This window comes from Homo sapiens, chromosome 12 (genome assembly GCF_000001405.40).
Source record: "Homo sapiens chromosome 12, GRCh38.p14 Primary Assembly".
NCBI lineage: Eukaryota > Metazoa > Chordata > Mammalia > Primates > Hominidae > Homo > Homo sapiens.
Genome location: NC_000012.12, coordinates 56,620,695 through 56,648,455, shown reverse-complemented (window position 1 = coordinate 56,648,455; position 27,761 = coordinate 56,620,695). Strand labels below are relative to the sequence as shown.

The 27,761-nt window shown below is 48.2% G+C and overlaps 2 protein-coding genes and 2 non-coding genes across 40 annotated transcripts in view, besides 17 other annotated features; all 4 read left to right on the top strand.

Annotated features, from left to right (window-relative positions):
- Positions 1,955-2,663: an enhancer, noted in NCBI's record as "OCT4-NANOG-H3K27ac-H3K4me1 hESC enhancer chr12:57039577-57040285 (GRCh37/hg19 assembly coordinates)". NCBI's record gives its function as "activates a minimal SCP1, AML or CMV promoter by ChIP-STARR-seq in naive and primed H9 embryonic stem cells {active_cell/tissue: H9 hESC(naive and primed)}" and the evidence as "EXISTENCE:reporter gene assay evidence [ECO:0000049][PMID:30033119]".
- Positions 1,955-2,714: a biological region, named in NCBI's record as "OCT4-NANOG-H3K27ac-H3K4me1 hESC enhancer GRCh37_chr12:57039577-57040285".
- Positions 2,385-2,714: an enhancer, noted in NCBI's record as "active region_6510". NCBI's record gives its function as "activates an Ori minimal core promoter by ATAC-STARR-seq in GM12878 lymphoblastoid cells {active_cell/tissue: GM12878}" and the evidence as "EXISTENCE:reporter gene assay evidence [ECO:0000049][PMID:35858748]".
- ATP5F1B (ATP synthase F1 subunit beta) lies at positions 2,472-10,281 on the top strand. Its single transcript, NM_001686.4, has 10 exons — positions 2,472-2,619; positions 3,103-3,285; positions 3,501-3,675; positions 4,498-4,619; positions 4,869-5,053; positions 5,625-5,783; positions 5,876-5,998; positions 8,264-8,476; positions 9,149-9,350; positions 10,033-10,281. The coding sequence occupies exons 1-10, from the start codon at positions 2,493-2,495 to the stop codon at positions 10,131-10,133; spliced, it is 1,590 nt and encodes a 529-aa protein (NP_001677.2). The 5' UTR covers positions 2,472-2,492; the 3' UTR covers positions 10,134-10,281.
- Positions 2,664-3,374: an enhancer, noted in NCBI's record as "NANOG-H3K27ac-H3K4me1 hESC enhancer chr12:57038866-57039576 (GRCh37/hg19 assembly coordinates)". NCBI's record gives its function as "activates a minimal SCP1, AML or CMV promoter by ChIP-STARR-seq in naive H9 embryonic stem cells {active_cell/tissue: H9 hESC(naive)}" and the evidence as "EXISTENCE:reporter gene assay evidence [ECO:0000049][PMID:30033119]".
- SNORD59A (small nucleolar RNA, C/D box 59A) lies at positions 3,355-3,429 on the top strand. Its single transcript, NR_002737.1, has one exon. It is a non-coding gene; the product is annotated as a small nucleolar RNA, C/D box 59A (small nucleolar RNA).
- Positions 4,702-4,776, top strand: SNORD59B (small nucleolar RNA, C/D box 59B). The gene has a single exon (NR_003046.1). It is a non-coding gene; the product is annotated as a small nucleolar RNA, C/D box 59B (small nucleolar RNA).
- Positions 10,138-27,761, top strand: part of BAZ2A (bromodomain adjacent to zinc finger domain 2A) — a 42,723-nt gene continuing 25,099 nt past the window's right edge. For 7 of the 37 annotated variants that reach the window (XM_047428155.1, XM_047428151.1, XM_047428145.1 and 4 more), the window contains exons 1-2: positions 11,581-11,639; positions 12,163-12,274. In XM_047428155.1, the coding sequence (XP_047284111.1) occupies positions 11,598-11,639; positions 12,163-12,274 (154 nt within the window). In that variant the 5' untranslated portion in view covers positions 11,581-11,597. Of the gene's footprint in view, positions 11,728-12,096; positions 12,275-13,460; positions 13,512-17,530; positions 17,681-18,129; positions 18,332-18,684; positions 18,783-19,712; positions 19,776-21,341; positions 21,440-27,202; positions 27,367-27,761 lie in introns of those variants that run through there. The other 30 variants (XM_047428169.1, XM_047428168.1, XM_047428167.1 and 27 more) reach the window with 19 other exon arrangements.
- Positions 11,064-11,575: an enhancer, noted in NCBI's record as "NANOG-H3K27ac hESC enhancer chr12:57030665-57031176 (GRCh37/hg19 assembly coordinates)". NCBI's record gives its function as "activates a minimal SCP1, AML or CMV promoter by ChIP-STARR-seq in primed H9 embryonic stem cells {active_cell/tissue: H9 hESC(primed)}" and the evidence as "EXISTENCE:reporter gene assay evidence [ECO:0000049][PMID:30033119]".
- Positions 11,277-11,571: an enhancer, noted in NCBI's record as "tiled region #9353; HepG2 Activating DNase unmatched - State 5:Enh, and K562 Activating DNase unmatched - State 25:Art". NCBI's record gives its function as "activates a minimal TATA promoter and a strong SV40 promoter by Sharpr-MPRA in HepG2 and K562 cells {active_cell/tissue: HepG2 | K562}" and the evidence as "EXISTENCE:reporter gene assay evidence [ECO:0000049][PMID:27701403]".
- Positions 11,549-11,718: an enhancer, noted in NCBI's record as "active region_6509". NCBI's record gives its function as "activates an Ori minimal core promoter by ATAC-STARR-seq in GM12878 lymphoblastoid cells {active_cell/tissue: GM12878}" and the evidence as "EXISTENCE:reporter gene assay evidence [ECO:0000049][PMID:35858748]".
- Positions 12,602-13,114: an enhancer, noted in NCBI's record as "H3K4me1 hESC enhancer chr12:57029126-57029638 (GRCh37/hg19 assembly coordinates)". NCBI's record gives its function as "activates a minimal SCP1, AML or CMV promoter by ChIP-STARR-seq in primed H9 embryonic stem cells {active_cell/tissue: H9 hESC(primed)}" and the evidence as "EXISTENCE:reporter gene assay evidence [ECO:0000049][PMID:30033119]".
- Positions 12,602-13,318: a biological region, named in NCBI's record as "H3K4me1 hESC enhancer GRCh37_chr12:57029126-57029638".
- Positions 12,999-13,318: an enhancer, noted in NCBI's record as "active region_6508". NCBI's record gives its function as "activates an Ori minimal core promoter by ATAC-STARR-seq in GM12878 lymphoblastoid cells {active_cell/tissue: GM12878}" and the evidence as "EXISTENCE:reporter gene assay evidence [ECO:0000049][PMID:35858748]".
- Positions 13,369-13,598: a silencer, noted in NCBI's record as "silent region_4562". NCBI's record gives its function as "represses an Ori minimal core promoter by ATAC-STARR-seq in GM12878 lymphoblastoid cells {active_cell/tissue: GM12878}" and the evidence as "EXISTENCE:reporter gene assay evidence [ECO:0000049][PMID:35858748]".
- Positions 13,949-13,998: an enhancer, noted in NCBI's record as "active region_6507". NCBI's record gives its function as "activates an Ori minimal core promoter by ATAC-STARR-seq in GM12878 lymphoblastoid cells {active_cell/tissue: GM12878}" and the evidence as "EXISTENCE:reporter gene assay evidence [ECO:0000049][PMID:35858748]".
- Positions 15,225-15,274: an enhancer, noted in NCBI's record as "active region_6506". NCBI's record gives its function as "activates an Ori minimal core promoter by ATAC-STARR-seq in GM12878 lymphoblastoid cells {active_cell/tissue: GM12878}" and the evidence as "EXISTENCE:reporter gene assay evidence [ECO:0000049][PMID:35858748]".
- Positions 17,824-17,893: an enhancer, noted in NCBI's record as "active region_6505". NCBI's record gives its function as "activates an Ori minimal core promoter by ATAC-STARR-seq in GM12878 lymphoblastoid cells {active_cell/tissue: GM12878}" and the evidence as "EXISTENCE:reporter gene assay evidence [ECO:0000049][PMID:35858748]".
- Positions 17,924-17,973: an enhancer, noted in NCBI's record as "active region_6504". NCBI's record gives its function as "activates an Ori minimal core promoter by ATAC-STARR-seq in GM12878 lymphoblastoid cells {active_cell/tissue: GM12878}" and the evidence as "EXISTENCE:reporter gene assay evidence [ECO:0000049][PMID:35858748]".
- Positions 18,194-18,543: a silencer, noted in NCBI's record as "silent region_4561". NCBI's record gives its function as "represses an Ori minimal core promoter by ATAC-STARR-seq in GM12878 lymphoblastoid cells {active_cell/tissue: GM12878}" and the evidence as "EXISTENCE:reporter gene assay evidence [ECO:0000049][PMID:35858748]".
- Positions 20,752-21,253: an enhancer, noted in NCBI's record as "H3K4me1 hESC enhancer chr12:57020987-57021488 (GRCh37/hg19 assembly coordinates)". NCBI's record gives its function as "activates a minimal SCP1, AML or CMV promoter by ChIP-STARR-seq in naive H9 embryonic stem cells {active_cell/tissue: H9 hESC(naive)}" and the evidence as "EXISTENCE:reporter gene assay evidence [ECO:0000049][PMID:30033119]".

Here is a 27,761-nt window from a genome sequence, read left to right as displayed (position 1 = left end):
TTCTCTTTTTTTTTGAGATGGAGTTACACTCTTGTTGCCCAGGCTGGAGCGCAATGGTGCAATCTCAGCTCACCGCAACCTCCGCCTCCTGGGTTCAAGTGATTCTTTTGTCCCAGCCTCCCAAATAGGTGGGATTACAGGCCACCACACCCAGCTAATTTTGTATTTTCAGTAGAAACCGAGTTTCTCCATGTTGGTCAGGCTGGTCTTGAACTTCCAACCTCAGGTGATCTGCCCGCCTTGGCCTCCCTAAGTGCTGGGATTATAGGAGTGAGCCACCGCGCCCGGACTAATTTTTTTGTATTTTTAGTAGAGGCCGGGTTTCATCTTGTTGGCCAGCCTGGTCTCAGGTGATCTACAGGCCTTGGCCTCCCAAAGTGCAGGGATTACAGGTGTAAGCCACCACACCCAGCCAAAATCCTATGTTTTGATGCAGTCCACTGAAATTAGTTTTGATCCCACTCCACCATGGAATGATTTCCTAGTTGCCAAACCCAAACCCAGAGGATTTTTTTCAGCCCTAATTTTTTTTTCTTCTTTTTTATTTTTCTTTTTTTGTTGAGACAGGGTCTCACAACGTCAGCCAGCATGGAGTACAATGGTGCAATCTTAGCTCTCTGCAACCTCTACCTCCTGGGCTCAAGCCATATTCCCATCTCAGCTTCCCCAGTAGCTGGGACTACTGGCACATGCCACACCTGGCTAATTGTGTGTCTGTGTGTGTGTGTGTGTGTGTGTTTATTTTTTTACATATTTTTTAGAGACAAGGTTTCACCACGTTGCCCAGGCTGGTATTGAACTCCTGGGCTCAAGTTATCCACCCACCTCGGCTTCCCAAAGTGTTGGGATTACTGGGCTGGCCGTGCCCAGCCCAGCCCTTTTTACTTATTTTATTATTTATTTATTTATTTATTTTTTATTATTATTTTTGAGACGGAGTCTCGCTCTGTCACCAGGCTGGAGTGCAGTGGCACGATCTCAGCTCATTGAAACCTCCGCCTTCCAGGTTCACGCCATTCTCCTGCCTCAGCCTCCTGAGTAGCTGGGACTACAGGCGCCCGCCACCACGCCCAGCTAATTTTTGTATTTTTAGTAGAGACGGGGTTTCACCATGTTGGCCAGGATGGTCTAGATCGCTTGACCTCATGATCTGCCCACCTCGGCCTCCCAGAGTGCTGGGATTACAGGCGTGAGCCACCGTGCCCAGCCTATTTTATTTTATATATTTATTTTATTTTTTTAGAGAGTCTCACTCTGTCGCCCAAGCTGGAGTGCAGTGGCGCTATCTCGGCTCACTGCAAGCTCCGCCTCTCGGATTTACGCCATTCTCCTGCCTCAGCCTCCCAAGTAGCTGGGACTACAGGCGCCCGCCACCACGCCCGGCTAATTTTTTGTATTGTTAGTAGAGACCGGGTTTCACTGTGTTAGTCAGGATGGTCTCGATCTCCTGACCTCGTGATCCGCCCGCCTTGGCCTCCCATAGTGCTGGGATTACAGGCGTGAGCCACCGCGCCCAGCTAATTTTTGTATTTTTAGTAGAGACGGGGTTTCACCATGTTAGCTAGGCTGGTCTCGAACTCCTGACCTCAGGTGATCCACCTGCCTCGGCCTCCGAAAGTACTGGGATTACAGGCGTGAGCCACCGCTCCCAGCCTACCCTAAGAATTTCTATTCACATTTCATAGCTGAGGTCTCTCAGCTTCCTTCAAGGTGGACAATTCTGTATCTCTAGGTGACCCAATTTTATCCCCTCGTCTTTCGTGCACCCAGTTTATGCTAACCAGGAACCATCACATTATTGCATTGTTTGTTCACCTGGACCTTAAAAGGAAGGTTCTTAGTCTTATTTATCTTATTATTGAGTCTCCTCAATGCCCTGCTAAAGTACTGGTTACATTAGTTTATTTCATTTTAATAGGTTTAAATGATAAAGATCCTGTCTAGGTTGCTAATCTGTGCAATCGCCTGGGAGCTTGCAATCTCACTACTTCGAGAGAAAAACCTTATTTTGGCTCTAAAGAGGGCTCCTGACTTCGCCACGCTCACCTTCAGTGGTGCTTCACCGCACTACCACTTCCCTAACCACCGCCCCTATGGCTGTCACCTAGATCAAGGACCTATCTAAGGAGAAAGCCCAAGGACAGGCAAAGACAGGCCACGCACTTTCAACAGGAACTCGGCCCCTTTCCTAAACGTAGTTCCTCTGATTACCCTGTCCAACGGACGTCGCTATGATCCAATTAAGTTTTGAGGCTCAGAGTGACGCCCTCTAACCTCACACTGTCCAATAAAAAAAGGAGTTTCAGATTAGCACCAGTTTTGACCAATGGATGAGAAGATCAGCGTGTATTAACCTGTAGAAGCAGCACAGAGAATGATGAGCAGCCAGTTCACCCAATGGACCTGCCTACTGCAGCGTAGGCCTCGCCTCAACGGCAGGAGAGCAGGCGGCTGCGGTTGCTGCAGCCTTCAGTCTCCACCCGGACTACGCCATGTTGGGGTTTGTGGGTCGGGTGGCCGCTGCTCCGGCCTCCGGGGCCTTGCGGAGACTCACCCCTTCAGCGTCGCTGCCCCCAGCTCAGCTCTTACTGCGGGCCGCTCCGACGGCGGTCCATCCTGGTAAGTGCTTTTCTCTAGGAGCTAACGTTCCATTTTGCCGCCCCATGACCTTGAGCCGGGGAACGATGGTAGCTCGGGCCTAAGGGATCCGTGGTGTTAAAAGGATGCCTGGAGCCGCGTCTTGCTCTCTAATGGCTGGAGAACAAGAATGGGACACCCATAGGAGGTTTCTTCGACCCAGCTCTGTCCCATTTTGTATAAAGTCCTTTGTGTGACGGAAAAGGTGCGGGCAGGTGCGTTGACCTTCCGGTTGAATAGGGGTACTGAACTCTCGAAAAATGGGGTCTTGTGCATGCGGATGGGAAGGCTGTGCAGGCGCTTTATCGATCGCTGCGCGGCCTTCCCTCTTGGACACGCGTTCCGTACAAGCGGAAAGAGGCCTGACTTCGGCTGAGTTTTCCTCTCCTTGTGTGTTAAGTCCTGGCTTCCGATGACCTTTAACTGGCCTGACCCCAGCTCCTTCCAATATCTTTTGTCTGTTAGTCAGGGACTATGCGGCGCAAACATCTCCTTCGCCAAAAGCAGGCGCCGCCACCGGGCGCATCGTGGCGGTCATTGGCGCAGTGGTGGACGTCCAGTTTGATGAGGGACTACCACCAATTCTAAATGCCCTGGAAGTGCAAGGCAGGGAGACCAGACTGGTTTTGGAGGTGGCCCAGCATTTGGGTAAGTAGAGTTTGTTAGGAATAGTAAAGACCTTGTGTAGCCCAAATATCCCCAAAACCAAGCTGTCTGCCTTCTATGATGATTTTATCAAAATGACTTTCGTTCTTCTGAGTTTGCTGAAGCCACATTTAGGTACTGAGAAGGAGTCTTGGTCGATTTAGGTCTTGATACCAATTTATCCTTATGTATAACCCTGCGATGCCTGTATCTAACAGGTGAGAGCACAGTAAGGACTATTGCTATGGATGGTACAGAAGGCTTGGTTAGAGGCCAGAAAGTACTGGATTCTGGTGCACCAATCAAAATTCCTGTTGGTCCTGAGACTTTGGGCAGAATCATGAATGTCATTGGAGAACCTATTGATGAAAGAGGTCCCATCAAAACCAAACAGTAAGTTGCTCTTATTGCATCTATGCACAAAGGAACTTCTGTTATTTGCAGTTTTACACATTAAGGTGACATGTTCTCCTAAAGCAGAATTTTTCTTCTGATACGTTCGATTATTAAAATCACACAGTGCAGTTTCACCTGAAGAAATTAGGATGCAGAATTTCTGATTGACAAAAGCCTACTACTTGAGGTTTTTTTTTTTGAGAGGGAGTTTCGCTCTCGACTCACTGCAACCTCCACCTCCTGGGTTCAAGTGATTCTCCTGTCTCAGCCTCCTGAGTAGCTGGGATTACAGGTGCATGCCATCATGCCCGGCTAATTTTTGTATTTTTAGTACAGATGGGGTTTCACCATGTTGGCCAGGCTGGTCTCGAACTCCTGATTTTGGGTGATTCCCCCCCCACCTCGGCCCCCCAAAGTGCTGGGATAACAGGCATGAGCCACTGCGCCTGGCTAGTTGAGTATTTTTAAGACTCGGTCTTATGGCTTAGGTTTAGGAGTCTCCAAAACTTGTAGGTTTTTGTATTTGCTATTGCTATGTGAGGGAATGCTGTTAGGTTAAGGCTCAGTAAAATGAAAAATTTATGACAGTTAAAGTCAGGGAATGGGATTATTGTTTCCTAAGATAATAATTTTCTTTATTGCAGAAAGTTGGGTTAGATCCTAGATGATAGTTTATCTGATTTATGTAAGAAAGGGGAGGTAAGACTGTGGTTCCTCAGGTAAAGGGATGGACTTGAGAGTTGATAGGGAGGGATATATAAGATTATCATTTGCTTTCAACAAGGTGAATAGATACTATCCTCTCTTCTACCTTTACAGATTTGCTCCCATTCATGCTGAGGCTCCAGAGTTCATGGAAATGAGTGTTGAGCAGGAAATTCTGGTGACTGGTATCAAGGTTGTCGATCTGCTAGCTCCCTATGCCAAGGGTGGCAAAATTGGTATGTTATTAAGGGGTACATATTTTCCAAACCTAATATGGGAGGAAAAACTCATACAATGTTATGAGTGGATATTGACATCTATTCCTCACTGATGAGTACGTTCTGACTTTCGTTCTTCTGAGTTTGCTGAAGCCAGATGCAATTTCTGAGAAGGAATAGGATGGAAGGAAGCAATTACTTTTTTTGAAGTTTGCTTATTTAGGAAAGCAGAACTCTTAAATATTCTTTCTTTTCAACCTCTTATAGGGCTTTTTGGTGGTGCTGGAGTTGGCAAGACTGTACTGATCATGGAGTTAATCAACAATGTCGCCAAAGCCCATGGTGGTTACTCTGTGTTTGCTGGTGTTGGTGAGAGGACCCGTGAAGGCAATGATTTATACCATGAAATGATTGAATCTGGTGTTATCAACTTAAAAGATGCCACCTCTAAGGTAAGCATTGAGCTAATTGATGTCCACGTGGTAGTTACGCCAGGAAACTATTGCCAACTGAAGCCATGTTCTATATTTTCTATTTAATTTTTTTTTCTTTTTAAGAAAATGTTAATATTTTCATTTTCGTGTCCCAGGGCCTACAAAGGAAACCTGTTAGTGTTTTCCCCCCCAACTTCCAATACACAAATGGACATTTTCTTTCCTCTTTGATACTGACATTAAATAACATTTCCAGGTTTTCTTTTTGGTAGATAGTCCCATCATTTGAAAGCTAATTTTGGGAGGGCTGGATTGGACGTGGTACATATGTTTCAGTTAAGCCTATTTTGTACTTTTCACTTAACTTGAATAGGTTTTTATTTCCTTTCTACTATAGTTTTGCCTTACTAATATAAGAAGCTGTCTTTTTTTTTTGAACTGCATCTCTAATAGGGAAAAGAAACTTGCACACAAAAACGCTGACACCTTCTGAGAAAGGATCTGTGGTCGTTTCTCCGATTTGGGAACCTTCAGTATGTGGCTTCTCTACTCCTTTGTCAGGTTTTACGATTATGTATGATTACTGCAGGTAGCGCTGGTATATGGTCAAATGAATGAACCACCTGGTGCTCGTGCCCGGGTAGCTCTGACTGGGCTGACTGTGGCTGAATACTTCAGAGACCAAGAAGGTCAAGATGTACTGCTATTTATTGATAACATCTTTCGCTTCACCCAGGCTGGTTCAGAGGTAAGAGGGAAGGCTTGAGAGGACCTGGTTCATCTGGCCTTTCTTCGGATGAGGCTAAGGATGTAGACACCTAAGACCTTTTTTTCTTTTAGGTGTCTGCATTATTGGGCCGAATCCCTTCTGCTGTGGGCTATCAGCCTACCCTGGCCACTGACATGGGTACTATGCAGGAAAGAATTACCACTACCAAGAAGGGATCTATCACCTCTGTACAGGTAAGAAAAATTACATAGATGAAGATCTGATTTGTATAAAGGCAGGGTGCAGTGGTGCATCTCAGCTACTGAGGAGGCTGAGGCAGGAAGATTGCTTGAGCCCAAGAGATCAGCCTGGGGAACAAAGCTGTATGTATGTAGAGAGATGTATAAAACTGACTGGGCCAGGCGTGGTGGTTCATGCCTGTAATACCAACACTTTGGGAGGCTGAGGTACGCGGATCATGAGGTCAGGAGTTAAGACACCACCCTGGCCAACGTGGTGAAATCCCGTCTCTACTAAAGATACAAAAAATTAGCTGGGCGTTGTGGCAGGCGCCTGTAATCCCAACTACTCAGAGGCTGAGGCAGGAGAATCGCTTGAATCCGGGAGGCAGAGGTTGCAATGAGCCAAGATTGGGGCACTGCACTCCAGCCTGGGTGACAGAGTCAGACTCTGCCTCAAAAAATTAAAAAAAAATAAATGAAGGTATACATTTAAATGTAGATCACAAAGCAATGGTTTCTAGTCTGAGGGGAGTCCGGCGCTATATGGAAACTGAGCATTAAATATTTACTGTATTAGGGCTGAGTGCAGTGGCTCACACTTGTAATTCCAGCACTTTGGGGCCGGGCACGGTGGCTCACGCCTGTAATCCCAGCACTTTGGGAGGCCAAGGCAGGCGGATCATGAGGTCAGGAGATCAAGACCATCCTGACTTAACACAGTGAAACCCCATCTCTACTAAAAATACAAAAAATTAGCTGGGCGTGGTGGCACCTGTCTGTAGTTCCAGCTACTCGGGAGGCTGAGGCAGGAGAATTGCTTGAACCTGGGAGGCGGAGGTTGCAGGAGGTTGTGGTGAGCTGAGATTGGGCCACTCACTCCAGCCTGGGCGGCAGAGTGATAATCCGTCTACAAAAAAAAAAAATTTACTGCATTAATGTACTATACATTTTCAAATATATATAGATGGGATATATAGTAAAATTACATAAATTTTACATATAGTAAAAATGTGGCTAAACTGTAGGAACTTTTCATGATTCAGTGTAATGAACTATTGTGCAAGAAGTTTTTTGTTCTTGTTTTTAATTCTTTTTTTTTTTTTTTTGAGACGGAGTTTCACTCTTATTGCCCAGGCTGGAGTGCAATGGGTGCGATCTGGGCTCACTGCAACCTCCTCCTGGGTTCAGGTGATTCCTTTGTCTCAGCCTCCTGAGTAGCTGGGATTATAGGTGCCCGACACCAGGCCCGGTTAATTTTTGTATTTTTAGTAGAGACGGGGTTTCACCATGTTAGTCAGGCTGGTCTTGAACTCCTGACCTCAGGTGATCTGCCTGACTCAGCCTCCCAAAGTGTTGGGATTATAGGCTTGAGCCACTGTGCCCAGCCTCTTTTTTATTTTTTTATTTTTTTTAATTTTTATTTTTTTGAGACGGAGTCTGTTGCCTAGGCTACAGTGTGGTAGCACAGTCTTGGCTCACTATAACCTCCACCTCCTGGGTTCAAGCGATTCACCTGCTTCAGCCTCCTGCATAGCTGGGATTACAGGCATGCATCACCATGCCTGGCTAATTTTTGTTTCCGTTTTTTTTTTTTTTTTTAGTAGAGACCCCCGTCTCTACTGGTGTCGAACTCCTGACCTCGTGATCTGCCCTCCTTGGCCTCCCAAAGTGCTGGGATTATAGGCATGAGCCACCGTGCCTGGCCCCCAGCCTCTTGTTTTTAATTCTAAAAGTGGGCATTAAAATAGTTAAAATAAAAGATGAAGAACAAAAAGAATGATACTAAAAATTCTTCCATCATGGCTGAGAGACCAGATAATCTGTCAGCTTATTCAGCAGGTATTAGGGGTGGTAAGAAGGGTCTTTTGAGTGCTAAGAATATGGAGTGAGATGATAAAGATAGGTCAGAAAGGGGGATGGCTTAAGTAAAATTACTTTGGTTCGCTGGGCGTGGTGGCTCACGCCTATAATCCCAACACTTTGGGAGGCCAAGGCGGGTGGATCACGAGGTCAGGAGTTCAAGACCAGCCTGGCCAAGATAGTGAAACCCCGTCTCTACTAAAAATACAAAAAAATTAGCCGGGTGTGGTGATGGGCACCTGTAGTCCTAGCCACTCGGGAAGCTGAGACAGAGAATTGCTTGAATCCAGGAGGCAGAGGTTGCAGTGAGCCGAGATTGCACCACTGCACTCCAGCCTGGGCGACAGAGCGAGACCCTCTCAAAAAAAAAAAAAAAAATTTACTTTGGTTCCTGTTCTTCATGGGATCTCACTTTAGGCTATCTATGTGCCTGCTGATGACTTGACTGACCCTGCCCCTGCTACTACGTTTGCCCATTTGGATGCTACCACTGTACTGTCGCGTGCCATTGCTGAGCTGGGCATCTATCCAGCTGTGGATCCTCTAGACTCCACCTCTCGTATCATGGATCCCAACATTGTTGGCAGTGAGCATTACGATGTTGCCCGTGGGGTGCAAAAGATCCTGCAGGTGAGTATATTACTATGTGGGATCAGTGTCCGGAAAGTCAAAAAGAGGGCCTGTGGGGACTATATGAGGACTGGATCTTTCTTAGTGATTTGTTTTGGAGCAAGGAAAGTTGAGGCTGGCAATTGCTAGTGAGAGCTAATGAGGTCTCTTGAGTTTCCAGGTACTTAACGCTTTGGAATGCAATATTTTTCTTTCTTTTTTTTTTTTTTTGAGATGAGTCTCACTGTGTCTCCCAAGCTGGAGTGCAGTGGTGCCATCTCGGCTCACTGCAACCTCCGCCTCCCAGGTTCAAGCGATTCTCCTGCCTCAGCCTCCTGAGTACCTGGGATTACAGGTGCGCGCCACCATGCCTGGCTACTTTTTGTATTTTTAGTAGAGACCAGGTTTCATCAGTTGGTCAGGCTGGTCTCGATCTCCTGACCTCATGATCCACCCACCGTGGCCTCCCAAAGTGGTGGGATTACAGACGTGAGCCACTGCGCCCGGCGGAATGCAATATTTTTCTAACAGCACCAAACTAGGACTATGGAGAACAAGACACTGATCTTTCTTGGCTGAGGGCCCTCATAACACCACCACCTTCTCTGCCCCCTAGCATGTAACTTTCCCTTTGTTAGCTTGTCCAAATTAAAGGAATGAGAATACTTAACTCAGTCTTCTTTTTTCTCATAGGACTACAAATCCCTCCAGGATATCATTGCCATCCTGGGTATGGATGAACTTTCTGAGGAAGACAAGTTGACCGTGTCCCGTGCACGGAAAATACAGCGTTTCTTGTCTCAGCCATTCCAGGTTGCTGAGGTCTTCACAGGTCATATGGGGAAGCTGGTACCCCTGAAGGAGACCATCAAAGGATTCCAGCAGATTTTGGCAGGTGAGATTTTGAGTACAAATCTTGAATGTTTACTGTGCTGTGGTCCCATTCCAACAACCGTCAAGCAATATATGTAATATACTATGCTTAATTATATTTTTTAATTTAAAAAACAAACTTACCCATTGATTTTGTTTGAAAATACTCTACATTTAATTTGAGTGTGATTTGTTACTTGATTCTCTAGCTCCCTTTTATTTTATATGTATTTTTTGAGACTGAGTCTCTGTCGCCCAGGCTGGAGTACACTGGTGCAATCTTGGCTCACTGCAACCTCCACCTGCCGGGTTCAAGTGATTCTCCAGCCTCAACCATCCAAGTAGCTGGGATTACAGGCACACGCCACCACGCCTGGCTAATTTTTGTATTTTTAGTAGCCATGGGGTTTCACCATGTTGGCTGGGCTTGTCTCGAACTCCTGACCTTAGGTGATCCGCCTGCCTTGGCCTCCCAAAGTGCTGGGATTACAGGTGTAAGCCACCGTGCCTGGCCCATGTGTTCTTAATTCATACTGTATCATATCTTGTAAATTTGATTTGTGAGGGAAATTTAAGCTTTCTAAGATGACATGAATTCATCACATTCTAACTGATGGCCTGAAGTGGTGAGGAATGTTACATGATGCAGAAAGTTGATATCCCTCCGCTTCTTACTCTTTTTTTTTTTCTCCCCCATCATACAGGTGAATATGACCATCTCCCAGAACAGGCCTTCTATATGGTGGGACCCATTGAAGAAGCTGTGGCAAAAGCTGATAAGCTGGCTGAAGAGCATTCATCGTGAGGGGTCTTTGTCCTCTGTACTGTCTCTCTCCTTGCCCCTAACCCAAAAAGCTTCATTTTTCTGTGTAGGCTGCACAAGAGCCTTGATTGAAGATATATTCTTTCTGAACAGTATTTAAGGTTTCCAATAAAATGTACACCCCTCAGAATTTGTCTGATTCTCTTGGTTCTGACAACATAGTCAACACTGAAGGGTTATGTATTTAATTTTAGTTTTAGAGACACGGTGTCTGGCTGTGTTGCCAAGACTGGTCTCTAACTCCTGGGCTCGAGATCTCCCACCTCAGTCTCCTGAGTAGCTGGGGCTACAGGTGTATGTAGTCTCACATCACCAGCACTGTTTTCAACAATTAGATTTTTAGAGTGGCTATAAGAAGCAGTTTCAGCATGAAGTGGGCCATGTATGTTTGAAATTGGTCCTTAAAAATAGCCATTCTCTTTTGTTGATGGACAACCGTACCTCTTGTGAGGGGTTTCCTGTGGGTAGTGTGATCTTAGTAGGGCCTCAGTTTTGGGCCTTTTGTTCAATACAAATTGATTTTTTTTTTTTTTTGGCCTCTATTCCATGTGGCACATCCCTACTTCTTGGTTAAAAATAGGACTTTTTTGAAGGGCATATTGGGAAAAACTCGTTTTAGAAATAACTTATTTCCAGGGGTTAATCTGAGTTTAATGAATTAAATTTTCAAGAAATAGTGATGAAGAATACTGATCTTTGTTAAAATGGAATCAAAAGGGTTCTCTACATCTTGGTTAGGCCTTCATGTCTTCAGAAAGTGTACTTAACTACTTCCTGACATTTTGGGCAAGCCTAAATAAAAGTTGCTTGTGATTCCTTGAGGCTATGCAGAGGCATATAATACCATAAGGCCTAGTCCACCCTCTGTGAAGATCCCCTTATGAAAGTCCAGAAAAGATAATCTTACAAGGGAATAGCAATTTTCAGAGTTGCTGGCTTGGGCTTCTAAACTAATGAAGTTAGGTTATTTTCCCTTCATTTTAGCCGACTGAGAGGTGCAGGGGTAGAAGATATATTTTACCATTTCAATTTAAAAGAAGCGTGCAAGGTCAGATTGGGTTCCTCTTGTGTTCTTTTCCGGGACCAGACCCATCCGACTGCCCTCTCGCGGTAGCACTGGAGACTCTGCAAGAACTCTGATCCCATTTTCAAATCCATGAAGGCCATTTGCTGGGATGTGGCTCTCAGTTAAAGACTGTTTACAGACCAGCTGGGGCTTTTGTCCTGGGGAGGAGCCTGTATCTATAAGCTCCACCCGCTGAGTCCATCAAGTTAGGTAGAAGCTGGGCGGGGACAAGCTGAGCTCCAATTCAGAGGCCCCTGGGGGCTGAAGGTTGGGGAGGGCTTTTTGGCGCGGGGCCAGGGGTGGAGTAGGGGCCTCTAAGCTTCCTTCCATCTGCCTGTGACGTCCTTGGCAGCAGCCTCTCCCGCAGTCTCTCCTGTGTCATGATCTGGACAGAAGGTGGAGCCCCTGAGCTGCTTGTGCTGGTAGTTTGCTCCCAGAAAAGCTGGGATTTGGGGAAATGCTGAGTTATGGGGGTGTGGACACTTCCTCTAGGTCCTGACTCTGGAGTGGGTAAGAAGCTGGTAGAAAAAGCCCTAGGGTACAGGTCAGCCCTTTCTGCTTTGTTTTCTCACGTCACCCGATACAGACCTGGGAACTGAAATCCTAAAGGTCTTTTGCATCCCTCCACCCCTTCCCCCAACATGTTCACGTCCTTCAGCGTTTATCGAGAACCTTCTCCCTCTCAGTAGCTGCAACTATTTGTTTCCTTCCCCCTTTGCCGGCCTCTTCTACCATGCCACTGGAGTGTCAACACAGCTCTCTAACCTTCCTCCATATTTCTCCTGGTCTGCCCTGTCCTCGCCTCCTCCCTCTCTCCACCCAGAGAAAGCCCCGCCCTTCCCTCCTCCCTCCCCACCCCAGTCTGTCACACAGGGACATCACCCTACAGCAGTTCAGGCTGTGTGGTTCGCAGGAAGCATACACTGGCTTTTTGATTCTTGCTAGTTCCCAGCTCACAGTTTGGGAGGATCCAACACCAACCTTTACGTGAAGTGGAGGCCCAAGGACAGTGAGGAGCTGGGTGGTCCCAGCCTGGAGCTGTGCCAGCCTGACATGGGTGAGTATGGGGACCAGCCCCGGGGAAGGCCTGAGGGATGCCTACTCCCTCCCTGGCTGACTCAGCAGGGGTGGGGCCTAACCTTTGCTCATTTGGGGGCTGAAGGAGAGGAAACAGGACTCTGGGGGACGGGGGGCACAGGGCTCAGCTAGCGAGGCTGCCGACCACGGGATCCTGAGTATGGGCAAGCCCCAGTTCTAAGGAAGAGCCTGAGACGCATCTTAGGCCAGGGCTTTCCCAGCCCCCTCCCCGCCGCCCCGTGGAGGATTGCCCCTGCTCCTCCCCATTTAAGCTGTTGAGATTCAAGGAAATTTTGACAGTACTCACTGCTAGCCCCCACAAAAGTAAAGCCGGCTTTTGGCAGTGCTGGAAGGTCTTTAAAATGCCTCCCCTCCCTCTCATTTTTCTAAGGCCTTTTAAGTCTGTCTTCTCTCCTCCCCCACCTTGACCCACCTTCAGGTGGGGGCTGCACTGAGCAGCTGCTTCCTGTTGCCCCAGAGACTGAAGCAAGGGTGGTGGTGGTTGGGGGAAAACTGAACCAAAGTCGATTCTCATGGTCCCACATCAGCCTCACCAGGGCTGCTATTGATGGCCCCCACACTACAGTCACTGAGGGCACTGAGTGGGACGCAGGATTGAGGTTGAGAGGATAGGAGGTTTTTGCCTTCGTGGCTTCCTGATTCCAAAGGCCCCACAGCCGTAGGGATGGAGCCCTGAGGAGCTGAAACACGGGGAACCAGTTCACCTAGTAGGGCGCTGCGCGTGACCCCCAGCAGGCTCGGCCTTGAGTTCCCTCTCCTGCACCCCTAGGCCTCCTAGGAGCCCATGTAGCTCTTTCTGCCTTCCCCGGCCTCTTTTGTGAAGCGGTCTTTGCTGGTGCCCTGGGAGCGCGGGCAGAGCTCTCCCAAGTCCTTCCTTTCGGACCTACCACCATCCCCCACTTCACCGCAGAAGTTTCTGTCTCTTTCTGGGATCCGTTCTCTTCCTCCCATCTGGGATCCTTCCTGGTTCTGGCCCCTAGGAGACGCCACCCGCTATCCTCTCCCCCAGTGGATCCTTCGCGACTGCTCTCCTGAGCGGTTGTCCTCACCTCGGTAGTTCCTGCCCCTTTAAGCACCACCTCCTCCCCTCCGCCGCCGCCGGCCCAGGGCTGGGGGAGGAGGCGCAGCCGCCGCCCGGCTCGGCCACCTGCGCCTCTGCCGCCGCCGCCGCCGCCTGCGGCCCGGCCCTGCTCCAGGTGAGGCCCGGCACCCACCTCCAGCTCCGGAGTCCCTTGGCGGGCCGTTCCTGCGGTATCCTGCCCCGGGATCCCTGCTGCCCCGGGATTCGGGATCTGACTCTCCCCCTGAGGGAGCTGCCCTTCCTCTCTCCCCTGAACTATCTACTCGCCCATTTTCCCCCTGTCCTCCGCGACCGGAATCCGGAGGCTTCTCACGCCTCTCCGCCATCGTCTCCCGAGTACCTTTCCTATTCTGGGCCCAGGATCTCCCCCTCCCCCGCGCCTTCTTCGCCAGAAAAATCTCCCGCGGTCTGGGTTTCGCCTCCTCCCCTCTGAACTAGCGCTTTCCCACGCCTTCCTAACCCCAATGGGAGGGGGGATACCCACCCCAACTCCTCTCCTTCCCCGTAGTAAGGGGGGCGGGGGAGCAACATCGACAGCACTATCTGTCCCTGCTCCGCTCAGCCCTTTAAGTTCAGCTAAGTCCCATCTAAACCTTTTCTGTAGTCCTCACCCCACCCTACATCTCCGGGAGCTTGGGGTCCAACCTCAGCACCGCCTACTGAGCCCAGGTGGGAAGGACTCTCCTCCTGGGCCTAGGGTTGGTCGGTGCAGCCTAGGAAGGCCCCTCCCCCAGAACCTGGGAGCTGGGGGCCAGGGCGCTGCCGGAATCTTGTGCTTCAGGGCCTCAGGGACAGTTGGGAGAGAGTGCGTGGGGAGCTGGGGCTAAATCTCTAAGGGAGTTGGGGCGATGGGGAAGGCAAGAGAAGTCCAGTCTTCTCTGTTCAGATGCAAAGGAAGCCCCCCGACTCCCTAGGAAATAGGGGCTTTCTCTAACTTCCAGGACCACCATAGAGAATCCCATTGGGAAGTTTGGAAACAAGTCTGTGTGAATCTGAGGAGCCACCTGTCGACTTAAAGGGGAGAAGGGGGCCGGGTGGAGTGTGCTCGCCTGTAATCCCAGTACTTTGGGAGGCCAAGGTGGGCAGATCACTTGAGGTCAGGAGTTCGAAACCAGCTTGGGCAACATGGCAAAACCTTGTCTCTACAAAATATACAAAAATTAGCCAGTCGTGGTGGCGTGTGCCTGTAATCCCAGCTACTATCGCTTGAACCTGGCAGGCTGGAACCTGGCAGGCGTAGGTTGCAGCGAGCTGAGATCACAACACTGCATTCTGGCCTGGGTGACAGAGCAAGACTGTCTCAAAACAAAACAAAACAAACAAACAAACAAAAGTGGGGGAAGAAGGGGAGGGGTGTTTTCCTTGTGATGTGTTATGGGAGAATCTAGCCTTCCCAGATTGTAGAGGGGGTGAAGACTTTTGCTTTAACCTGGTGGGGGGGTCTAGTTGGAATGGTTACCCGGCTAAGAGCCATCTCCCTGCTAGACAGATCCTGTTAACAGTATGATCCATTCAGCCAGTGAGGGGAAGGCAGGTCTTTAATAATTATCCCACCTCCATTAGAGAATTCCCCCTCCACCCCCAGTCCAGCTGCGCCCCTAGCTATGCTCTTTCATTTCCCACTCCTCACTTCCAGAATTAGGGGACTGGCTGCCAAGATCTGCTTCAGACTCTTCTAAGTCATGTTTGGAGGGGGTGCTGGGGGGAGGAGAGGGTGTTCAGCAGTGGTGTTTGGGGTTGGATGCCAGGAGTATCTGGTGGGGGAGAGGGAAGGATGTAGAGGGATGCAAACGAATCCCCTTCTCTCTCTTCCTCCTCCCAGCCCTAGCCATCTGGCTACAGAGTGGAGCCAGGCACTGTGGCAGCTGACCCCAGAGTCAGGGAGGTGCTGCAGGAACACAGGGAGGGTGAGAAAGGGGGTGCAGGTGCTAATTTGTCCCTCCCCATTCTCTTCATGACTAGTCCACTGGCCTGGCTTGAGGGAGGTTCAGCCTATTCCCTGGAGACTCTCCTTACAAGTTGCTGATAAAATGACCATTTGCCCCTTCCCCTTTCTAGTAGCTTCCTGAAGGGAAATGGGTGGGGAAAAGAGAGGTGGGTGGGTGATCAGCCACATCTGATGGGATTGAGGAGTGTTTCGGGACATTTGGGGTCAGTCTGCCCTCTCTCGTCTGGATGGGGGGAGAAGCACAGCTGCAGCATGGGGTGACTTCTAGCAAGAAGTAAACATCCAGCTGTTGGGCACACTGTCACCCCAACCTCATCCTTCCTCAGAGCAAGGAAGATCCTGATTAGATGAGATGAGGTGGGGTCTCATTCAGGAATGAGGATGATTGTAGTCTTTCTGCACCAGATGGGAAGAATGGATCCTACCTCATTTTCTTTTCTAATCCCAAGTGGTCCTCTCCTATCCAACACCCCTCTTCCTAACCGCTCCTGGCTGGAATAGTCCTAAAGGTTGCCCTGGAGACTAGGCCTGGGGCTCGGAAGGGGTGGGGGCGGTCAGTGGGGCACAGGAGTAACCGGCTCTTCCGGAGCAGAGTGGAGCCAGTGGTGGGTGTGTGTGGGTGTGGGGAGGGGCGTGGCTACACCCGTCTGACGGGCGCAGGCTCCTCCCCTGCCTGCCCAGTCCCCGACTGGCCCCCTTTAAGATTGGGAGCAGGAGGTAGGAAGATTCTCCCTCATCTGCTCTGGAAAAGGGCAGGGAAGACAAAAGGATACCAGCTTCCTTACCCACACCCCCATCCCGCCGCCCTTGAGGCCTCAGTTTTATGCCTTTCTTCACCTGCCTTAATTTTTTATTTGGGGATAGAGAGGCATTTCTTAGCAGAAGTTTGCCAGAGCCCTCCTTTCTCCAGAAGGAAGGAAACCTCTACCCTGAGTGTGACCTCTACTTACTCAGGGACTTGAGGTCAGCAGGCTGTTGGAGGAGTATTTTTTTTTCCCCAAGGTGACCTGTAAATCTGTTGTTTTGACAGGGAGGAGAGAAGGGTTTTGGTTTCCACCTGCCTATTCCCTCCACTGGTAATCTACTTATCTCGAGAGAGGAAGAGAAACCCCCTTAGCCTTCTGTGTCTGTGGCCCACACACTCTGTGAGCCTTTGCTAAAGCTAGCTTCCTTCTTATCCTCTCTGAGCCATTTGTAGTGGGGGGGTGGAGGGGTGGAGTCTTTCCCCAAAATTCAGGAAGAGCCCACCCCTCTGTGGAGTAAGGAAATCCAATGTAGACTGATGGATCTCACCCCCCAACTCTGCCCATTTTTCAGATCTCTTTCCTCCTCAGACCCCCAGAGGAAAACGTATTTGTTGACACCCCAACTTGCCAGAGTTTCATCATCCCCACTCTGTTGCTTTTCCAGAATATTCAGCAGCCTGAGCTTTGCACAGTTTAGGCAACTGTTTCTAGAACTGCATTGCATTGAATTAAATGGGAATTATCTTCAAGGCTGCAAAGTGTTGAGTTGCAAGGAAAGGAAACCTGGTTTCCTTTCTTGTCATATTTTATCCACTGTTTGACATTGAAGAAGTCATTGAACCTCTTTGGGTCTTAATTTCTTCATTTGATGAAGGAGAGAAGGTTGAACTAGAATTTTTTTTTTTTTTTTTTTTTGAGATAGAGTCTCCCTCTGTCACCCAGGCTGGAGTGCAATGGCGCGATCTCAGTTCACTGCAACCTCCACCTCCCAGGTTCAAGCGATTCTCTTGCCTCGGCCTCCTGAGTAGCTGAGATTACAGGGGCACGCCACCACACCCAGCTAATTTTTGTATTTTTAGTAGAGACCGGGTTTCATCATGTTGGTCAGGCTGGTCTTGAACTCCTGACATCATGATCCACCTGCCTCGGCCTCCCAAAGTGCTGGGATTACAGCCGTGAGCCACCGCGTCCGGCCTGAACTAGAAATTCTCTAAGCTCTAACATCATATGACACTGTTCTTCATCCTGGTGCCCTGCAGTGGACATTTTAGGTGACAGCCAAACTCTAGTCCTCTGCTAGATTTTACTTTTCTGAGTTTTCACACAGTTATGTAGCCCTGTCAGAAAAAAATTCCCAGAACCATAGAATGGGTGGACATTTGTGGCATCTTTTTGCTGATTAGTTTTCAGCTTATCCTTTACTTCTCTGACTGCATTTAGGCTACACTCAGGTCTTTGCTGTCTGGTTCCAGAGCCGAACCTTCTTTCCCCCACGCACAGGAATCTTTCCTTTCCGGTGACCAGGGCCCTGCAGATGTCGCCAGGAAAGTGGTGATCCAGGCAGGACCAGGCTGCACTGAAGGGACAGAGGTGAGTGGGTGGCTGACTCTTGCCTCTCCCCATCCCTTTACTGAATCGCGACCTGAGTGACTAACCTTTCTATTTCCACGTTTCCATTACCCTACCTGGGAAATAACTGCCCCCGAAATTCCCCTGACTCTTACCCCTACCAGCCTGTTAGAGAAGTGGCACCTGCCTTTGGGCCTAGACGTTTGGTCTAGTCTTTTAAGTTAACCTTGGGACTGTGGCATGCCTTTCAGTTTGCCCTGTGTGAAGCAGGACCACTGCCTCCATGAGATGCGGGTGCAGAGGGAGCTGCCAGGTGGGCAAGGTGGCCAGAGTTGCAGGAGGCACAGCGGCGCTAGGACCCAGGTCCGGGTCGGAAAGATGGGCTGGCGGGCTTTAGGACCCTGTGGCGGAGGCCGCGTGGGGAGACTCTCTCCCGGCCGAGGCTTCTCCGCCCCCTCCGGCTCCGACTCACTCCTCCCCCGCCGGCCATGTTGGCTCCTCTCGGGCCCCGCGGTTGAGCCGCGTCCCCCTCCCCCTTCCCGAACCCCGGACCCCAGACCCCCTCCCCAGCGGGCGTCTCCACCCGTTCTGGCGCCCGGAGCGCGGCCATGTGAACCGCTTGTACCCCGGGGAGAGACGAGCCCCGAGCCCGGCTGGACGCCGCTGCCTCAGGTTTGTGGGGTCTGTGGCCAGGGGCCTGAGGGGGAGGGAGCCCCGCTTTCATCCGAGGCTTCCCTCGGGGAACAGAAGCTCCAGAGCCGGCTTGAGCCTTGCCGGGGCGGGAAGCCGACGGGAGCTTATTTCCTGCGAGGATCCAACCCGAGGCGAGGGTCTCCTTGCTCTGGGGTCTGGGAGGAGAACAGGGCTGGTGGGGCTGCTGAGGACCCCGGACGGGGCCGCGGGGGCAGGAGGAGCTGTAGGGGCTCCCGGCGACAGTGAGGAGGCGGAGAAGCCGCCTGGCTGGTGGAGATGACTCCTGTGGGGGACTTGGGGTGGAATCCCCGGGAGGGGCTCCACCTCCTCGGGTGGGGGTGGGGATTGCCTGAGCGCGAGGGGTGGGTGAGGGGGTTCCCTTGGCGGGTTAAAACGCTCCGTTTGCGGGGAGCTGGGCGTTTTGACTGTGGTGAGTGGAGGGCGGAAGGGGTTTCCAGGGGTCTGAGGGTGTCTCCCTCGGGGAGCGCACCCATTCTCTTGAGCGTGAAGATCAGGAGAGGGCCTTCCTTGCTGAGGGTGGTGCTGCGCTTGGCTTGGGGCCCTCGCGTCCCGGGAGAATCGCGCACTCCGGGGATGGAGGTTGATAGGGCTTCCGCTGAGGCTTTCCAATTTGAGCTGGGCTGAGGGGCAGAAGGGAAGAATAAAGAGGAATTCCTTTTTCCAAGGAGATTCCTCACTGAGGGGATCCCCGCTTCCGTGGCAGAAAGATGATACCGCATCATCCCTTTCTTTCCCGGTGTTCCCAGTTTTCAGGAGAAGGCAATGTCAATAGCAGTTGTCCTTTGTAGGGTTAATTGGAGTGAGAGATTTGTCTGCTTTGGGGGACGACGGAGGGGATAGCTTTCCACCTCTATCTGTACACAAACAGCCCCTCCCCCAGCCTCCCGCAGGAAGTGGCCGGGAAATGGCAGCTGTGCGTTTGCTGCTGCGTGTCTTGTTGTTTTGAAATGTCCATTTTAATCAGATTTGGTTTCATTTTCTGAAGCCTTCTGGGCAAGCTTGGATCTTGCCAACCATGTGGCCCGAGAGACCTTTCGTTGGACTTTTTTTTTTTTTGTAAACTTGTCAACTGGAAGTAGTCAACTTCAGTTGACTCACGTATCCCAATCCCTTCTCCAGAACATCTCTGTCTTCCTGTCTGGTTTCGTTTTGTTTTCCCTTTAGCTAGAGGTCATAGAGAAGCAAACTCAGTTATCTACCAGCGGGGTACGCTCTATGTAAGTGATGCAAATTCCCTCAGCATAGAGAGCTGTCAGGGAGACTAGAGAGCTTTTGTGGCACGAGTAGCTTCTTGGGGTCCTACTTTAGTATAGTTATTATGACAGTTTCTATATTGCAGAGCACCTGAGCAAGTGAGCTTGTGAAGAAGGGTAGATTCTAAGAAATGGACGAAGAGGAAGGGGTGAGGAAGATTTAACTATTAGATGGATTTGTGTGTCGGGGGTAGGGACTGATTAACAGACTGAGATTGGTGAACTCAGTCCTTGGTGGTGATTCTAGCCTAAGGGCAGCCCCTGTGGGAAGCTTGTTATTTGACTAAGGGGTGCTGGAGATACTACCTTCTGCAGAATCAACTAATTAGAATAGTACAGTTTGTTATCATATGACTTACTCTTTAATCCATAAAAGAACGTCTCCCCTCTTATTCTTCTTGGAGATTGGTAAGCTTTTCCTCTGTTCCCTGCAAAGTCGTGCCCAGATTTTTTTTTTCTTTCTTTTCACTTGATAATCCCAGGATATTTCTCCTGTAACATATAGTGATGGACTGTGTGCTATGTCCCCAGGCATTTTGTGGCACACTGGATTTGGTTAGGGGCAACAGTTGGCCACAGAATTTTATTTTTCTTTCTTTTCTTTTTCTTTTCTTTTTTTTTCTTTCTGTCTTTTTTTTTTTTTTTTTTTTTTGAGACGGAGTTTTGCTTTTGTCGCCCAGGCTGGAGTGGTGTGATCTTGTCTCACTGCAACCTCTGCCTCCCGGGTTCAAGCGAGTTGCCTGTCTCAGCCTCCCGAGTAGCTGGGATTACAGGAGCCCGCCACCGCATCCAGCTAATTATTTTATTTTTAGTAGAGACGGCGTTTCATCATGTTGGCCAGGCTGGTCTCGAATTCCTGACCTCAGGTGATCTACCCACCTCGGCCTCCCAAAGTGCAGGGATTACAGGTGTGAGCCACCATGCCTGGTCTTCTCTTCTTTTCTTTTTTTTCTCTTCTCTCTCTCTTTTCTTTTCTCTTTCTTTCTTTCTTTTTTTTTTTTTTTGAGACAGGGTCTCACTCCGATGCCCAGGCTGGAGTGCAGTGGCGCCATCATAGCTCACTGCAGCCCCGACCTCTTTGGCTCAAGTGATCCTCCCACCTCAGCCCCCTGAGTAGCTGGGACCACAGACACGCACCACCACATCCAGCTAATTTTTTGTAATTTTTGTAGAGGTGGGGTTTTGCCAGTTTGCACAGGCTGGTCTTGAACTCCTGGGCTCAAGTGACCTGCCTGCCTTAGCCTCCCAAAGTACTGAGATTACAGGCATGAGCCACCATGCCCGGCCTATGACCCCAGGACCACAGGATTTTAGATTTTGAAAGATAAAGTTTTGTTTTTTTCTTTTTCTTTTTTTTTTTTTTTGAGATGGAGTCTCGCTCTGTTGCCCAGGCTGGAGTACGGTGGCACCATCTGGACTCACTGCAACCCTCGCCTCCCAGGTTCAAGCGATCCTCCTGCCTCAGCCCTCCAGTAGCTGGAATTACAGGCATGCGCCACCATGCCTGGCTAATTTTTGTATTTTTAGTAGAGAAGGGGTTTCACCATGTTGGTCAGGCTGGTCTCGAACTCGAATTGAGCCTCCCAAAGTGCTGGGGTTACAGGCATAAGCCACAGGGCCAAGCCTTGAAAGATAACATTTTCAGATTATTTGGACTATTCTGAAAACTACGTAAGCCTGTCATTTAAATCATCTTTTCACTATTTATTTTCCAGGCAAAAACCCCTCCCACCTAGATGAAGATCCCTAGATTAAAGATCCAGTATGGGAGCAGATAGACACTTATGATTGTGTGAAAGTGGCATCATCACTAGTAAGATAGCAGCATCATTGCTCTTCTCACTGGGGCTGTTGGGGTTTTTGATATTCTGGAAACAGTAAAAACAAGTCCATCTGATGTCAGCATCCTTTTTCTTGCCCCTGATTAGTTCCTTTAAGTTGCTGTCTGATGGGGTTGATTTGATGCTGATTTTAAGTTCCCCTTTCTTCAGCCTTTGCTTACCTGAATTGGCACTTGACAGAACAGCAAGTTGATTTTCCCTGTTGGGGGTTAAAAGAGTAAAGAAAGGAGAGATAACTACTCTTGAGTCTTTGGACTTTTAAAAGAAAAGCTGATTTTGAGAAAATAGTGATTTCATTTGATACATGATTGAATTGGGAGCTGAATGAAGCAAACCTTTCATGGCCTTCTTATAAAATGGGTGCATTTTTCTGTCAGAGAAATATATTTCTTAATATTTCAAGCTTCTCGATGAAAGAAAAAATCTGAGGTGTAAAGAGAGCTGTATGGGCTGACCCCAGAGCCAGTCTAGAATGAAGGGTTCATCTTGTAGTCTTGCGGCTCTGGAATCAAGTATTACTGGGAGAGAAGCAAAGCTTGTTAGGGTTACTGACAGTGTCTTCCTGCTGTTGACCTTTCTTGTCACCACTGAAGAGGTCAAGCACCAAACTGCTATTTTTACTGCTGAAACAGTATAGAAGTTAGTCATTGATAATGATGTTTGACCTTGTGTAAGATGTATCAAGAGCAGCAATAATGCCAAGTATAAAATTTGAGATAATTCCTGGGGTAAATAACCTTCTTGGTTTGTTTCTTAGGATGTTGGTGTCCTCATATGCCTTATATATAGCCCAAGATGAATAGTTTCTCAGTATTATCTCATGTGGGTCAGTAGGACTATTTTTCACCAGCTTGTTATTATCAGTCTGCCTAATTTGGAAATTTAAAAAATTGTGCAAAACAAAAAAGCCCATCTTTGAAGATATCTGATACTTTGAAGATACTGTCACTAGCAGTAAAAGTAGCATTGGCTTAGTGTTTTGTCTTTTCTCCTCTTTAAAGAGAACAGTTATTATGGGGGCATTTTGCAGACTAAAATACTGTAATCTTGCCAAAAATTTACCAAAGAAAGGAAGAAGTTTTTTGTTGTTGTTTTTTTTTTTTTTTTTTTTTTGAGACGGAGTTTCGCTGTGTCGCCCAGGCTGGAGTGCAGTGGCGCGATCTCGACTCACTGCAAGCTCCGCCTCCCGGGTTCACGCCATTCTCCTGCCTCAGCCTCCCGTGTAGCTGGGACTACAGGCGCGCGCCACCATGCCCGGCTAATTTTTGTATTTTTAGTAGAGACGGGGTTTCACCGTGTTAGCCAGGATGGTCTCGATCTCCTGACCTCATGATCCGCCCGTCTCGGCCTCCCAAAGTGCTGGGATTACAGGCGTGAGCCAAGAAGTTTTTAAAAGATAGATGGTCTTCCTACTTTTAGTCTTTTGAGGTTGGACTCTGTAACCTGCCTCATGAATGGGGTCCTTAACCTGCCTGCTTAGCTCATATTTGGGGGTGGAAAGGGTGGAGTCCTTAACTGTTAGAGTTTAAATTCTGGCTGGGCACGGTGGCTCAGCCTGCAGTCGCAGCACTTTGGGAGGCTGAGGCGTGCGGATCACCTGAAGTCAGGAGTTCAAGACCAGCCTGACCAACATGGTGAAACCCTGTCTCTACTAAAAATATGAAAATTAGCCGGGTGTGATGGTGGGCGCCTGTAATCCCAGCTACTTGGGAGGCTGAGGCAGGAGAATTGCTTGAACCGGGGAGATGGAGGTTGCAGTGAGCAGAGATCGTGCCACTGCACCCCAGCCTGGGCAACAGAGCCACACTGTCTCAAAAAAAAAAAAAAAAAAAAAGAAATTCTAAGAAACAATCAGAGCTGAAAGAGGGAAATTACCTTAATATAACCTCTGGACTGTGGCTTTTAGTGTCCTGCAATTTCAGAGGCATTCCTGGTCTTCTGAGAGTAAAGTGACTGGAAATGTGGCAGAAAACTTAACCTGTAGTTTCTTTAATTAACAAATATATAAAAACCTATTATATGCCTCAAGTGTTCAGTTAAACCAAGTAGAATGTTTTATTAATTCAGAGCTTACGTTTATTTATTTTTTTATTTGGTTGAAAACGGTGGTGTGATCATAGCCCACTGCAGCCTCCAGGTCCTGGACTCAAATAATCCTCCCACCTCAGCCTCCGGAGAACCTGGCACTACAGGCATATGCCACCATGCCTAGCTAATTTATTGGCTTTTTACATTATCAGTACTTCCCTATTTTCAGGCCTTATTTTCTTCAAGGAATGGCTATTTAAGTACGTCAAGATTTGAGGCCTTTCTTCTCTCTTGAAATTTTTATCTCTGTGAAGAATGAAGCTGAGTTTTTTTTTTTTTTTTTTGTTCTCTGAAAATAGTAAGAGCAAAGCCCATGACCTTCATTGGATAAGTAAGCTGGTAGTGGCAGAAAAGGTAGATTTACTCATTCATTTCTTCAGTCCATGGACTCAACAAATATTTCCTTTGGTTCTTTTGTATACTTAGCACTAAATTAGGTGCTAGGGATATAATGGTGGAACTTATATCCAACTGATGCTGTGGAACCGACATAATGTAGAAGAAATAAGGACAGAGAACAGTCATCTTTGAATTCTTCTGAACAGCCTGGACGTGACAGTTTTCTTTGAGTAGCCCCCTCTTAGTATAATCTTCCTTCTTTCATTATCTTTGTTCTGCCTCACTTGGAGTCCTGACTAGGGAAGGTAGTTAAGGAGAGGATGGATATTTTGAGCCTCAGTCAGTATATGATATAGTTTGTCCGAGTCAGAGTTCAAGGGAAGCTTGTTACTAGGGCACTCAGAATGGGTTATCGTGATTGGAGAAGAGGGCATATTTATTCTGTGGCTTGGTACTTGGAATTTTTTTTTTTTTTTTAGTGTAGAGATAGGGTCTCACTGTGTTGCGCAGGCCAGTCTTGAATTCCTGGCCTCAAGTGATCCTGCTGAGGTTATAGGCATGAGCCACCTCTCCCAGCCTACATGGAACTCTTATTGGTGGAGGAACATGGCTTAGCCAGGGAGATGAGGTTTTTAGATACAAAAGCCAAAGCGTCCTCATTTGCAGTGTCAGGAACTGGGAACAGTGAAAACTTGGAACTTTCCCAAGGTGTGGGGCAGGAATGGGACAGCTTTTACATTAGAACAGGGTTTCTCAGCCTTGGCACTATTGATAACGTGGGCCAGATAATATCTTCGTTGTGGGGGGCGCTGTCCTGTTTGTTGAAGGACGCCTAGCAGCATCTTTGGCTTCTGCTTACTAGATGCCAGTAGCACATACCTTCAGAGATTACTAAATGTCCCCTACGGGGCAGAATTGCCCCTGATGAGAACCTCTGTATTAGAGTGTGGTGGGTAATCCAGAGATGTGTAGAGTTAAGAAATATCCTTCATGATGTTCACAATTACAAAGCTAAAATGTAGTGGTGTGATTTTTACTCTAGAATTTGCCTTTGCTGTTTAGTCAAGATAAACATTTGAAATCTCTCTCACCCCCCAACCCCATTTGTGAGATTTTGATGTACTACATGAGAAGAATGAACCCAAGAGCTGCAGGGACCACTGCAGTATCCAGCTGGAGGGTGTTAATGTGTCTTGTTGTCCTGGGGGGTAGCCTCAGAGGCTGGAGGGTTAGAATTGGTCAGGGAGGACACCTGTAACAGTGTTGCAATATATAATATTTATTTCAACACTTTGTGCATTGTCAGCCTTTTTCTTTTTTTTTTTTGAGATGGAGTCTCGCTCTGTCGCCCAGACTGGAGTGCAGTGACGCGATCTCGGCTCACTGCAACCTCCACCTCCCGGGTTCACGCCATTCTCCTGCCTCAGCCTCCCGAGTAGGTAGGACTACAGGTGCCCGCCACCACGCCTGGCTAATTTTTTCTATTTTTAGTAGAGACAGGGTTTCACCGTGTTAGCCAGGATGGTCTCGATCTCTTGACCTCGTGATCCGCTCACCTCGGCCTCCCAAAGTGCTGGGATTACACGAGCCACTGCTCTTGGTGTTGTCAGCCTTTTTCTATTAAACCATGTCACAGGCCCACAGAGTAGCAGCTCTTTGATTGGAACTGGGAGAAAAGCAACCTATTCGGCCCTGTGGGGAGGGCTTTATTGCTTCAAGCTTATAGGGCAATGTCCCTTACTCTTATAAATGAAACATAGGAGCTCTTAAAAGATCCATTTATGTATAGCTGGGACTGGGCTGGGTGCTTGAATGAATGTACTTCCTGGTATGAGAGTCATCTGCTACTCTAGGGGTTGGGCACTGGCTGATTTCTTTTCTCATTTGGTGAAAATCCTATTAGTTCAAAGGGAGATGCTCTCCTTTGCTTTACTGTTCTTACTAGCTCTGGATGGGAGGACAGAGTTTACCTTTAGGGTTTATTGTGAAAAGCATCTTGAGTAGGAAGGTTAAAATGAAATAAACCTAGGTTCATTGTTGAGAGGAGGTGTTCACATGTTTTTCGTATTCCCATACTGTGACATAATTAATTCCCATATTTAAGTGACATCTGAAATCAGGAGTCAAATTGTATATAAGGAAGTCTGGCTGGATCATCCCTAGTTTTAAATTATATTTATTTTATATGTAGACCGTTTAGACCTGATTATCTTTTTTTTTTGGAGATAGAGTGTTGCTCTGTCACCCAGGCTAGAGTGCAATGGTGCGATCTCAGCTCACTGCAACCTCCATCTCCTGGATTCAAGCAATTCTCCTGCCTCAGCCTCCTGAGTAGCTGGGATTACAGGTGCCCGCCACCACGCCCAGCTAATTTTTTGTAATTTTAATAGAGATGGGGTTTCGCCATGTTGGCCAGGCTGGTTTCGAACTCTTGACTTCAGGTGATCCACCCACCTTGGCCTCCCAAAGTGCTGGGATTACAGGCGTGAACCACTGCGCCTGGCCAGGCCTGATTATCTTTTTGAAAACTACACAGTCTTTTACTGTTTGTCTAATAATAGTAGCTAATGTAGTCCTGGTAAGGTGGCTCACGCCTGTAATCCCAGCACTTTGGGAGGTCAAGGTGGGAGAATTGCTTGAGGCCAGGAATTTGAGACCATCATGGGCAACATAGCGAGACCCTGTGTCTACAAAAAAATTTAAAAATTAGCCAGGTGTGGTGGTGAGCACCTGTAGTCCTAGCTACTTGGGAAGCTGAGGCAGGAGGATTACTGGAGCCCAGGAGTTCCAGGCTGCAGTGAGCTATGATCATGCCACTGCACACCACTCTGGATGACAGAGTGAGACTCTGTCTCAAGAAGAAAAAAAAAAAACTAACGTTTATGGAGTGCTTGCTGGATGACAGACACTGTGCTGGGGCTCTAATTTAGATTTTCTCATTTCATCCTCACCAGTCCTTAAAAGTGGGTACAAAAATTGTTACAGATGATGAAACTTAGGCCCAGCAAGTATAAGTAACTTGTCCAAGGTTAAACAGCTAGCTAGTAAATAGTAGAGTTGGGATTTGAACCTAGAGCCCACTACATTGTGCTGACCACATTGCATAGCACAAAGACAATTTTATGTGTCTAGGAAGCTTCTCGTAAATGAAGTGGTTGTGGTTCTGATGACAGTTCAGAAGAGACAGGTGGAGAAACTGATCTCACATACTAAATAACTTCCCATTCTTTTTAATTCTCTGATTTCTGTGAGCCATCGACATGTTGTTATTAATATTTACAAAAACAGGATATGCTGTGCTTTTCCAGAGCAGCAGAGAGGAGGTCACAACTTTGTTCTTGGATTCAAATAGAGAATGGAAAAATGAACCGTGACCCATCATTGAGGAGGATATAGTCCACTGCACATAGGATGGAAGTTGCATGTATCCTCCACACCAGGGGAGGTGTACAAAAAACTGGGGAGAGGAGAGGTGAGGATCAGATGAAATTGGCCCTCTAGGCATAGTATTTCCAGGACTTCTGAAGTGAAGAGTGTCCTCCTTGCTCTGTGGTATAAGCTTTGGAAGGAACCTAACTGGAGACTAAGGAATGAACTTTCCTTTAATTCTTGCACTTAAGAAGGATTATTAATCTCATGATGCTTATCTTTCAGACCCCCTACTGCTGAGGAGTAGCTGTTAACTATACTAGGGAAATCCTGACTGGGCGCAGTGGCTCATGGCTGTAATCCCAGCACATTGGGAGGCCGCGGTGGGTCGATCACTTGAGGTCAGGAATTCAAGACCAGCCTGGCCAACATGGTGTAACCCCGTCTCTACTAAAAAGATAAAAAATTATCTGGGCGTGTTGGCGGGTGCCTGTAATC